At 43.1% G+C, this 13235-nt stretch overlaps 1 pseudogene, besides 1 other annotated feature; it reads left to right on the plus strand.

Annotated features, from left to right (window-relative positions):
- Positions 262-1461: an enhancer, noted in NCBI's record as "CDK7 strongly-dependent group 2 enhancer chr6:109126969-109128168 (GRCh37/hg19 assembly coordinates)". NCBI's record gives its function as "activates an origin of replication core promoter dependent on BRD2, BRD4, P300/CBP, MED14 and CDK7 cofactors, with strong dependence on CDK7, by STARR-seq in HCT116 cells {active_cell/tissue: HCT116}" and the evidence as "EXISTENCE:reporter gene assay evidence [ECO:0000049][PMID:35650434]".
- On the plus strand, positions 12176-12422 carry RPL37AP3 (ribosomal protein L37a pseudogene 3; annotated as a pseudogene).

The raw sequence follows: 13235 nt of genomic DNA on the forward strand, positions 1-13235 counted from the left end.
GTAGGGAAAAAAAATGTTTGCAGTGAGGAGAGGGAGCCCAGGGGGTAAGTAGGAGATTTCTGAGCAACAAGGAGGGCCCACAAAATTCTTATAGAAAGCATGGATTTGCTGCAGAGCCAGCAGACAGTTAAGTGATTTGCTCCAACAACAGATGGCACTCTGTTTTCAGCCAGAGAACAAATGGATGGAGGGATTGGCCCAAGGCTGAGTGTGTTTAAAGGTCAGGGTCAGGTCAGGTGTGGTGGCCCACGCCTGTCATCCCAGCACTTTGGGAGGCTGAGGCAAGAAGATTGCTGAAGGCCAGGAGTTCAAAGCTGTAGTGAGCTAGGATCACACCACTGCACAGCACTGGACCACAGAGGGAAACCCTGTCTGTGAAACAATGAAAAAAAAAGATTAAACAGAAGGCCAAGGTCAAGAGACTCTGCGGTGCTGGTTTAAAAAACAACAACAACAACAAAAAACAAGTGACTCAGAGTCATTTTTCTACTTCCCACTTCCTCATTTCTACTTCACCAGTGATTCTAAACTAAGTGTGAGCCCCAGGCTGGCCTGGCTCTGTGAAGGTAGCAATCCGTCATGATGCAGACAGGCTCTGGCAGGAATTCCAGACGACCCCACTGGGGACCTTGCAGAACAGAAGCTGTTTCCGTGGAGCAAGGATCCCCGCTGGAGACTTCAGTGTCTCTCCCTGTCTCCAGGCACTTCCTGGCATTTCCACTGGCTCTCACCAATCCTCTCCCTAGGACCAGATCTTCCTCATCTGCACCTCCATTACCCTCCTCCTCTGCCTCAGACACAGTGTTTATCAAGCTCATCCTGGTGTTTAGCTCCTTTCCAGAAAGAGCTTCGAGTGAGTTATTGATGCAGTCAATACACTGACCTCGAGTTCACAGCTGGTCCAGGAGGTTAAAATGCTGAAGTAAGTAGAACACACTGTGATGAGTTTGTTAAGAAATTTGATTCTCAGTTTCCAGGATAAACTGTTTTCTTTACCATGTCACCACTTCAGTCTTGTTATTGTGCTGTTGAATAGGGCAGGACCAACAAATGACAAGAATCCAATGGCCTTTGAAGGTCATCCTGTGCAGCCTCCTGCCTTCGAGCAAGGATGGTACCTGAAATAATAATCCCTGTGGGAAGAGTTCAGAAGGAAGACATAAGGCCTTAGCTGCATGGAATTATGATGACTGAGAAGTATTTTGTTTAAAGCTTAGAGTCAATGCAAATGTTTTCTTGTTTTAGAAAATTCTTAGAGAAAGGATAATTATTTCCCACACGAATTGAGCTATGTCGTGTCTCACTCATCTCAGACCCAGCCCATTGTGAGTCCATAATACTTGTTGGATAAACATTTGTTGAACTGAAATGAGTGGATCCAAGGGTGAGACATTAGCAAATATGAGTCATCCCTGAATGATATGAAGTGAAAATTAGAAGAAATTCAGGTGCTTCTAATAGGATACCGAATATGAACACTTGGAGACTCACTCCTATGCGGACTCCTTTAGTCTTCCTGCATAATACACTTTTTAAAAACACAAGGTCCAGAACTATTTTTAAAAGAAAGCTTTGGGTCGAAATGTTTTCAATGCACAGACATCTAGAGGAGAAAATAGCAATCACCCACATTCCCACCATGCAGAATTAAGTACTATTAACATTTTGGAATATTTGCTTCCAACCTTTTTAGTTAGTACTCTATTTTTAAAACCTTTACTAGTGCAATTATGTGCTGAAAAATATGAATGTGTCTGTGCATGTGCATATGTGTGTATACTATGAACTCACATGTCTCTGCTCACACATCTGTGACCTCTTGCTTGCTCTTCCCCAGGGTTTCTGCACTGGTAGGTGCTATATTGCACACTGCTATGGCAATAGTGGAATAATGAAGCCATGATTTTACATATCAGTGTACAGATGCATAATCCGAATTATACATTTTTAAAGTATAAAAGCTATAAGGAATGCACACACACAGTAAAAAAAAAAAAATTCTAACCCGACTCCCTGGCCTTCAGTCTTTCAATTTTTCTCTCCAGGGGCAACCAGCATTGCCAGTTCCTTGCAAATGTTTCCAGAAATATCATTTGCATATACAAACATGTATTCTCTATTTTCCTACACAGATGGTAGCATACGATGTATACTGTTTTGTACCTTAGCATAGGGTTTTGGAAATTTTGCAAATGCTTCTTAACAGTAAGCTTTCTGAATGTGCAAATTAGCAATCAAGGCCTTCCTTTTTTCCTTAGTCTCAGACAATGAACTCGGTGGTCAAAAAAATGTCCTCCACTTGCCGGACAGGTGCCTTCAAATCACAAATTCCCACATCATGGTTAGATGGTGTATTCTTGCCCACTCCTGTTGAACTTACTTATTTAAACATCCACAAGAAAATCCTGTATATTTTTGGTAGCTAAAGCAAAATCCTGCAGAACACAACAAAACCAAACAGAGGGAAATTTGGGGCTCAGCTTAAAATACAGCTGGGCAAGCCTACACTTAGTTGCTGGAATAACAACCAGCTGGGAGGACTAAATTTAGCTTGGAGCCTTAAACACGGTCAGCCCTAATGCCCACAACCCCCCCACAGAGGACTTGGGCCCCGTCTCCCAAGTTGGGAGACAAGAAGAAACAACAATGTTGGCCTAAAAGGCTGACTTTGCAAAAACCACCTAGTCAATCTGCTGTGATTTAATAGGCTGTGAAAGGTTTGATTTACAGGCAGTCAATAGGCAAGCAGCATGATTTGTTGTTAGGGGTATAGAGAGCACAAGGACTAGGATGATGCCAGACAGTGAAAGCGGTTAATTAAAATTGTAATATTATTTTAAAACAATTTTTAAAAAAGAATAGAACAAATTGGAACTAGAAGTGGGTCCCACTCTCAGGGCTGGCTTGCAGGGAAATGAAAGGCAAGTAGGACCGGTCTCCCACATGGAGCCTTCATGGGACCCCCTTACCCATGCACCACCCCCTTCTCCAGGGGAGGGCTGCAAAGGACAGAGACCCCCAAACACAGGCTCATGTCTTGATATTACGACTTGGTTAGCCTCAGTTTCCTGGTTTGGTCAAGTAAGGTGGTTGGACTAGATGCGCTCTGAGCCCCAACCCTCCAGGTCTGCAGTTTTCATTTTCTTATGTCTCCTACAACTGCCTGGAGCCCCTTGGTTCTTTGAGGCTCCTCCTACAACCTGGGGGTGCTTTACACCCCACCCGTAGCCCCCTCCAAACCCAAGTGGTGGTCTTGGTGCCTCAGGGTGAGACCACGCGTTGACAATATGTTAATAACTTGGTAAGGGAGGAACACGAGGGAGCTGGGAGTGTCTGGCATCTCCCCTGAGCCTGAAGGTGGCACCGTGGAAAGCCTGACAACCCACACAGCATCACAGGCATCATCTGGGCTCCGTCAGAGAGGCCTGGGACGTAGTTTACTGAAAATAAACAGGACGAGGATGCCCCATTTAGCCCAGGTGGTACCCGGGGAATAGCGGGACTTCTGACTGACCATGCTCACATGTGTGAAGAAAATGTCTACTGGGGTTCTCATGAGTCCCCCACCCACTGGGTAGCAACAGAAATAAACTAGACTGAGTCCAAGCAGTTCCAGACTTGGATGCCATGATTTAAATACTGTGCCTGTAGGGTGACTTTGGTTTCCACCGTTGAATTGTTGTCTTCCAGATTCTTGTCCTGCCCCTGCTCCTTTCTTAGAAGGTATTTGTGTGGGGTGTGATGAGCAGGCTTTCAGGATGTCATGGCAGGCCTGTGTGTGAGAACACTCTTGGTGACCCCCATGCTGTGTGTGGGCTGGTTTGGTGTGCTACTAGTCTCAGCTGTCTGCAAACTCTTGCTGTGGTCTTTCTCAGCCCACTGGCCCTCCCTGCGGATACGGCCTCCCCTTGCTTCACTCTGTCATCACAGACATTTCTGAGTCCCTGTCACACTGTCCTTCTGGGTCCTGGCCCAGGCTGCCACCCACAGTGTGGGCTGTAGGGTTATTTTGCTCCCAGCCACATTAGGGCCCTGGCAAATCTCCAGGCTTATGGGAGAAAATGTGTTCAAGAGTACACACTAGACCCCTCTCTGCCCTCCTAGCAATGCAAGGCTGCCTATCTTGACCTTCACAGCAGTCCCCACCAAGATCCCAGATGGGAAATGGGGCACAGCCCTGCCACTCTCGATGTTTCCTTCAACCTAATCTAAATGTCTCCTCCTTCAGGCCTAGACCAGAGAGTGGTGAGCAGGCCCCAGAGCTGACTGACAGAGCACCTTTCACTGCCCAGCGCTATTTAGGGCCCGAGGGATGGGACTGAAAACAAAAATTCCCATTCCTGTCTACCTGCAATTTCCCTCCCTTCCTTCCTGTCTTCCTGCCTTCCTGCCTTCCTTCTTGCCTTCCTTCCTTCCTTTTCTGACATAGGGTCTCTCTCTGTTGCCCAGGCTGGAGTGCAGTGGCATGATCATGGCTCACTGCAGCCTCAACCTCCCGGGCTCAAGTGATCCTCCCACCTCAGCCTCCTGAATAGTTGGTACTATGGGCATGCACCACCACACCTGGCTGATTTTAAACATTTTTGTAGAGACAAGGTCTCACTATGTTGCCCAGGCTGGTCTCAAACTCCTGAGCTCAAGCAATCCTCCTACCCTGGCCTCCCAAAGTGCTGGGGTTACAGTCTTGAACTGTGCTTGGCCATGCAATTTCTGTGCTCGGCCATGCAATTTCCATCTTGTAAAAATTTCCATGATCTAATACTTCACCACACAGAGCCTTTAATATGTTACACAAGAACTAATTTTTTAGAAAACCTTTTTTTTTTTTAAATTGAAGGCCCAACTTTCAAGGTTGCTGTTTTGCTTCAAATCTTATTTTAGATACCAGAAGCTGAATATTAACTTTTTTTCTGTTTGCATTATTTCTGAAATAATCTTAATCCTCTGCTCCAGTAAGACCAGGGAGAAGATCATGAGCTCATAAAAAGCAAACAAAAAGTAATGCCTGGTAATAATTTTCAAAATAGTATCCTGCATTAAATTTTTGTATACTTATTTAATCAATGTCTCCCTCATTGAAAAGCATATTACCTGAGGTGGGGATGGAGGGACAACACTTTAATAAATTGGTCTCATAAATTGGGGCCCTAAGGAACATAGGACAGCAAAGTGTTGACAAGGGAAAATTCCAGGGCAGAGGCGTGACGGGGAGAGGGCGCAGGTCTAGCAGCTGACAAGACACTTAGATTTATCCATCCAGGAGTCCAAAACTCGCATAGGGTCTGAGTCTATCAATATGAGGGTTTAAGTAGAACACTAGTTAATTTGCCATGTATAGTCTCCTGAAACAGTGCTTCCCAGCTCCTAGCTGCATCAGAATCACCTGGAAGGCTTGCTGAAACCGACCAGGCCTGACTCCCCCAGTCTCTGATTCAGTAAGTCTCGGGTGAGACCTGAGGATCCGCATCTGTTACAAACTCCCAGGTGCCCATGATGATTGATGTTGGCCTTTCTACCACTGTTTGAGTGGCACTGTCCCCAAGAAAATGGCACGGGGACCAAGATAGAGACTACAAATGACCGCTAGGAACAGCGGCAAACTGTATGACTTGCTTTAAGATTTTGTTCTGACAATTCTAGGCAGTCGTTCGATTCAAACACATTGTAAAGAAAAATAAGACCAGATCTAGGAGGTGATTTCCACACCTCTAGAAAGAAGGAAAATCATCATGCTAGAGCGTCTGAGTAAGCTCCAGGTCAAGGATTTTCTTTTTATTTTATTTTAATTAATTAATTAATTAAGTTAGAGACAGGGTCTTACTCTGTTGCCCAGGCTGAGGTGCAGTGGCACGATCTCAGCTCACTGCAACCTCCACTTCCTAGGTTCAAGTGATCCTCCTTCCTCAGCCTCCCAAGTCACTGGGACCACAGGTGTGAGCTACCACGCCCAGCTAGAGAGAATTTTCTTCTTACAGCCTTTATTAATCTGAGCTGCCCTTGGATGGGAGGAAAGGCAGGGCAGAAAGCCCCTTTCTTCATCCTGACTAATCTCCAGTGAACTAAGGGGCACTTTTGGAAATATTTGCAGAGTGCCCGTGCTGTGGATAGGTCTCTGCCTTTGCCCTATGCATCGTGGAAGTGGCTGTGTGGCTGCCTCCCAGGCCCTGGGTGAGCGGGGGAGCCCCTGGAGGCCGTGCACACTGTGCTCAGGAGTGCAGGCTCCACACCCAGGCCACCCTTCAACCCCAGCTTTGGACTTGCCAATGCTGTGGCTTCAAGTGTGGGCCTTAACGGCTGCCCAATGAGAGAATAATATGCCCCTCATGAGGACAAATGCAGCGAGAGTCAATGGGACGTTTTCTATAAAGCAGTAGCTCCTGTTTTGAGGCAGGGAAGCTAGTGCATAGAGGAAAATGTTATTTCTGGCTAGCAAAGCAGGGTCTGTGGGATTGCATCCTAGCAATCCTCATCTTGACCTAGACCCTGCCCCTATGCAGCTCCCTGCACTGAGGTGTGCCAAGGTTTTGCTTTTTCTGAGTCTATTAATGTTTCCATGGTTGAAATACCACTCTCTGATTAGCTCAATAAGTCATTTTAAAAACAGCAATTTTTTTTATTATACTTTAAGTTTTAGGGTACATGTGCACAACGTGCAGGTTTGTTACATATGTATACATGTACCATGTTGGTGTGCTGCACCCATTAACTCGTCATTTAGCATTAGGAATATCTCCTAATACTATCCCTCCCCCCTCCCCCCACCCCACAACAGTCCCTCGTGTGTGATGTTCCCCTTCCTGTGTCCAAATGTTCTCATTGTTCAATTTCCACCTATGAGTGAGAACATGCGGTGTTTGGTTTTTTGTCCTTGCGATAGTTTGCTGAGAATGATGGTTTCCAGCTTCATCCATGTCCCTCATGAACTCATCCTTTTTAATGGCTGCATAGTATTCCATGGTGTATATGTGCCACATTTTCTTCATCCAGTCTATCATTGATGGACATTTGGGTTGGTTCCAAGTCTTTGCTATTGTGAATAGTGCCACAATAAACATACGTGTACATGTGTCTTTATAGCAGTATGATTTATAATCCTTTGGGTATATACCCAGTAATGGGATGGCTGGGTCAAATGGTATTTCTAGTTCTAGATCCTTGAGGAATCGCCACACTGTCTTCCACAATGGTTGAACTAGTTTACAGTTCCGCCAACAGTGTAAAAGTGTTCCTATTTCTCCACATCCTCTCCAGCACCTGTTGTTTCCTGACTTTTTAATGATCGCCATTCTGACTGGTGTGAGATGGTATCTCATTGTGGTTTTGATTTGCATTTCTCTGATGGCCAGTGATGATGAGCATTTGTTCATGTGTCTGTTGGCTGCATAAAATGTCTTCTTTTGAGAAGTGTCTGTTCATATCCTTCGCCCACTTTTTGATGGGGTTGTTTGTTTTTTTCTTGTAAATTTGTTTGAGTTCATTGTAGATTCTGGATATAAGCCCTTTGTCAGATGAGTAGGTTGCAAAAATTTTCTCCCATTCTGTAGGTTGCCTGTTCACTCTGATGGTGGTTTCTTTTGAAAAACAGCAAATTTTTTTATGATACCTAAAATGTTTTTTATTATACTTTAAGTTCTGGGGTATACATGCAGAACATGCAGTTTTGTTACATAGGTATACACGTGCCATGGTGGTTTGTTGCACCCATCAACCCGTCACCTACATTAGGTATTTATCCTAATGATATCCCTCCCCTCGCCCCCCATTCCCAGACAGGCCCTGGTATGTGATGTTCCCCACCCTGTGTCCATGTGTTCTTATTGTTCAACTCCCACTTAAGAGTGAGAACATGTGGTGTTTGGTTTTTCTTGTGTTAGCTTGCTGAGAATGATGGTTTCCATGTCCCTGCAAAGAACATGAACTTATCCCTTTTCATGGCTGCGTAGTATTCCATGGTGTATATGTGCCACATTTTCCTTATCCAGTCTATCATTGATGGACATTTGGGTTGGTTCCAAGTCTTTGCTATTGTAAATAGTGCCACAGTAAACATACGTGTGCATGTGTCTTTATAGCAGAATGATTTATAATCCTTTGGGTATATACCCAGTAATGGGATTGCTGGGTCAAATGGTATTTCTAGTTCTAGATCATTGAGGAATCACTACACTGTCTTCCACAATGGTTGAACTAATTTACACTCCCACCAACAGTGTAAAAGCATCCGATTTCTCCACATCCTCTCCAGCATCTGTTGTTTTCTGACTTTTTAATAATTGCCATTCTAATTGGCGTGAGATGTTATCTCATTGTGGTTTTGATTTGCATTTCTTTGATGACCAGTGATGATGAGCTATTTTTCATATGTTTGTTGGCTGCATAAATGTCTTCTTTTGAAAAGTGTCTGTTCATATCCTTCACTCACTTTTTGATGGGTTTTTTTTTTCTTGTAAATTTATTTAAGCTATTTGTAGATTCTGGATATTAGCCCTTTGTCAGATGGATAGATTGCAAAAATTTTCTCCCATTCTGTAGGTTGCCTGTTCACTCTGATGATAGTTTCTTTTGCTGTGCAGAAGCTCTTTAGTTTAATTAGATCCCATTTGTCAATTTTGGCTTCTGTTGCCATTGCTTTTCGTGTTTTAGACATGAAGTCTTTGCCCATGCCTATGTCCTGAATGGTATTGCCTGGGTTTTCTTCTATGATTTTTATGGTTTTAGGTCCTACATTTAAGTCTTTAATCCATCTTAAGTTAATTTTTGTATAAGGTATAAGCAAGGGGTCCAGTTTCAGTTTTCTTCATATGGCTAGCCAGTTTGCTCAACACCATTTATTAAATAGGGAATCCTTTCCCCATTGCTTGTTTTTGTCAGGTTTGTCAAAGATCAGATGGTTGTAGATGTGTGATGTTATTTCTGAGGTCTCTGTTCTGTTCCATTGGTCTATATATCTGTTTTGATACCAGTACCATGCTGTTTTTCTTACTGCAGGCTTGTAGTATAGTTTGAAGTCAGGTAGCATGATGCCTCCAGCTTTGTTCTTTTTGCTTAGGATTGTCTTAGCTATGTGGGCTCCTTTTTGGTTCCATATGAAGTTTAAAATAGTTTTCTCCAATTCTGTGAAGAAAGTCAGTGGTAGCTTGATGGGGATAGCATTGAGTCTATAAATTACTTTGGGCAGTGTGGCCATTTTCATGGTATTGATTCTTCCTATCTATGAGCATGGAATCCTTTTCCATTTATTTGTGTCCTCTCTTATTTCCTTGAGCAGTGGTTTGTAGTTCTCCTTGAAGAGGTCCTTCACATCCCTTGTAAGTTGTATCCCTAGGTATTTTATTCTCTTTGTAGCAATTGTGAATGGGAGTTCACTCATGATTTGGCTCTCTGTCTAATATTGGTGCATAGGAATGCTTGTGATTCTTGTGCACCGATTTTGTATCCTGAGACTTTGCTGAAGTTTTTCATCAGCTTAAGGAGATTTTGGGCTGAGACGATGGGGTTTTCTAAATATACAATCTTTTCATCTGCAAACAGGGACAATTTGACTTCTTCTTTTCCTAACTGAATACCCTTTATTTCTTTCTCTTGCCTGATTGCCCTGGCCAGAACTTCCAACACTATGTTGAATAGGAGTGGTGAGAGAGGGCATCCTTATCTTGTGCTGGTTTTCAAAGGGAATGCTTCCAATTTTTGCCCATTCAGTATGATATTGGCTATAGATTTGTCATAAATAGCTCTTATTATTTTGAGATACGTTCCATCAATACCTAGTTTATTGTGAGTTTTTAGCATGAAGCACTGTTGAATTTTGTCACAGGCCTTTTCTGCATCTATTAAGATAATCATGTGTTTTTTGTCATTGGTTCTGTTTATGTGATGGATTACATTTATTAATTTGTGTATGTTGAACCAGCCTTGCATCCCAGGGATGAAGCTGACTTGATCATGGTGGATAAGCTTTTTGATGTGCTGCTGGATTAGGTTTGACAGTATTTTATTGAGGATTTTCCCATCAATGTTCATCAGGGATATTGGCCTGAAATTTTCTTTTTTTGTTGTGTCTCTGCCAGGTTTTGGTATCAGGATGATGCTGGCCTCATAAAATGAGTTAGGGAGGATTCCCTCTTTTTCTGTTGTTTGGAGTAGTTTCAGAAGGAATGGTACCAGCTCCTCTTTGTACCTCTGTATAATTTGGCTGTGAATCTATCTGGTCCTGGGCTTTTGTTGTTGTTGTTGTTGTTGTTGTTGGTAGGCTATTAATTACTGCCTCAATTTCAGAACTTGTCATTGGTCTATTCAGGGATTCAACTTCTTCCTGGTTTAGTCTTGGGAGGGTGTATGTGTCCAGGAATTTATCCATTTCTTCTAGATTTTCTAGTTTATTTGCATAGGGGTGTTTATAGTTTTCTCTTATGGTAGTTTTATTTCTGTGGGATCAGTGGTGATATTCCCTTTATCATTTTTCATTGCATCTATTTGATTCCTCTGTCTTTTATTCTTTATTAGTCTGGCTAGTGGTCTATCTATTTTGTTGATCTTTTCAACAAACCAGCTTCTGGATTCATTGATTTTTTTGAAGGGTTTTTCATGTCTCTATCTCTTTCACTTCTGCTCTGATCTTAGTTATTTCTTGCCTTCTGCTAGCTTTTGAATTTGTTTGCTCTTGCTTGTCTAGTGCTTTTAATTGTGATGTTAGGGTGTCGATTTTAGATCTTTCCTGCTTTCTCTTGTGGGCATTTAGTGCTATAAATTTTCCTCTACACACTGCTTTAAATGTGTCCCAGAGATTCTGGTACGTTGTGTCTTTGTCCTCATTGGTTTCAAAGAACATCTTTGTTTCTGCCTTCATTTCGTTATGTACCCAGTAGTCATTCAGGAGCAGATTGTTCAGTTTCCATGTAGTTGTGCGGTTTTGAGTGAGTTTCTTAATCCTGAGTTCTAATTTGATTGCACTGTAGTCTGAGAGACTGTTTGTTATGACTTCCATTCTTTTGCATTTGCTGAGGAGTGTTTTACTTCCAATTATGTGGTCAGTTTTAGAACAATTGTGATGAGGTGCTAAGAAGAATGTATATTGTGTTGATTTGGGGTGAGGAGTTCTGTAGGTGTCTATTAGGTCTGCTTGGTGCAGAGCTGAGTTCAAGTCCTGGATATCCTTGTTCATTTTCTATCTCGTTGATCTGTCTAATATTGACAGTGGGGTGTTAAAGTCTCCCACTATTATTGTGTGGGAGTCTAAGTCTCTTTGTAGGTCTCTAAGGACTTGCTTTATGAATCTGGGTGCTCCTGTATTGGGTGCATATATATTTAGGACAGTTAGCTCTTCTTGTTGCAATGATCCCTTTACCATTATGTAATAGCCTTCTTTGTCTCTTTTGATCTTTGTTGGTTTAAAGTCTGTTTTATCAGAGAGTAGGATTGCGACTCCTGCTTTTTTTTTTTGCTTTCCATTTCCTTGGTAAATATTCCTCCATCCCTTTATTTTGAGCCTGTGTGTGTCTTTGCACATGAGATGGGTCTCTTGAATACAGCACACCGATGGGTCTTGACTCTTTATCCAATTTGCCAGCCTTTTAACTGGGGCATTTAGCCTGTTTACATTTAAGGTTAATATTGTTATGTGTGAATTTGATCCGTCATTATGATGCTCGCTTGTTATTTTGCCCATTAGTTGATGCAGAAAAACAGCAAATTTTACCTCAATTAACAAATCTTCTGGTGATGAGGTTCATTTATACAGTAATTAGTGGACATTAAAATAAAGGAAGTGGCTTCCTTGCTGGGCTCGGAGGTGGTGTATTAATCTGTTTTCATGTTACTGATAAAGACATACCCGAGACCGGGCAATTTACAAAAGAAGAGGTTTAATCAGACTCACAGTTCTACATGGCTGGGGAGGCCTCACAATCATGGCAGAAGGCAAGAAGGAGCAAATAACATCTTACATGGATGGCAGCAGGCAAAGAGAGCTTGTGTGGAGAAACGCCTGTTTTAAAAACCATCAGATCTCATGAGACTCATTCACTATTGCAACAACAGCGCAGTAAAGGCCTGCCCCCATAATTCAATCACCTCCCACTGGGTTCCTCCCACGACATGTGGGAATTGTGGGAGTTACAATTCAAGACGAGATTTGGGTGGGGACACAGCCAAACCATATCAGGTGGCTGGCAGAGACATGGCTAAATGCACCAAGAAGGTAGGAGTCGTCAGTAAATATGGGACCCAATATGGTGCCTTTCTCAGGAAAATGAAGAAAATTGGAATCAGCCTGCAAGTAACATTTTGCTCCTTCTGTGGCAAAACCAAAATGAAGGGGTGATGTGGCACTGTGGCTCCAGCATGAAAATGGTAGCAGTGGTGCCTGGACTTACAACCCCAAAGTAAAGTCAGCTATCAGAAGACTGAAGGAATTGGAAGACTAGTAGAGGCTCCATTTCAAACATTACTGGCCTGTAATAAATAGGTTAACTTATGTGATTGTTTTTAAGGGATCATGTGACCCAGCACTGCCTTCCTTGGGCCAGGATGCCCCAGGGCACAGCTTCTTCTGCCTTGGGTCCACTGAAGGTGAACACAGCAACTCCCCAAAGCTGTGCCTCCCAGGTCCTTCTTCTGTCACAGACTCTCCACTTTCCAAACCCTCCTTCCTCTCTTGAAGGAGGGAGCCTCCAGTCCCCGCCAGCCATGTAGTCTTTGGCTCTATGAAAGGATAAGGTAACCAACTTATTTACACAAAGTGCTACCTAGCCAATCTTCTGGCTTCTATCTTTAACTGGAATGTGTCTTTTATCATCAATTGCTTAAAGGAGTTTCAGGCCTCAGTAGGAAAAGCTGGAGATGTTCCATTTTCAGGACAAGGGCTCTGGGTCAGTGAGTGCACCTGGAATTGTCCCAGGCCTATCTGCTGATGTTGGGGTTTTTAGGGAACCCTGGGGTAGGGAGCCAGAAGCCTAATGGTTCCCTGCTTCTTCCAACGGGGGTAACCAAGCAGGATTGGGCCTGGTACCAAAAGAGCCTGTGGGAGGAGGAACTCCTGCCTTTTTTTTGCCAGTCGTTCATATTCACTTCCCTACCTAAAGACAGATCCATCTGCTTCCTGTCTCCTTAAATGAGTCCTTGCCTTGCCTGTCCTTGACCCCAAGACTCTTAGCTACATGTATTATCATACCACAGTATTTTAAATCATGTTTAATCATTTCTTGGTACCAAACTTCCTGGCTGATATGGTCTGGATA

This window comes from Homo sapiens, chromosome 6 (genome assembly GCF_000001405.40).
Source record: "Homo sapiens chromosome 6, GRCh38.p14 Primary Assembly".
Lineage (NCBI taxonomy): Eukaryota > Metazoa > Chordata > Mammalia > Primates > Hominidae > Homo > Homo sapiens.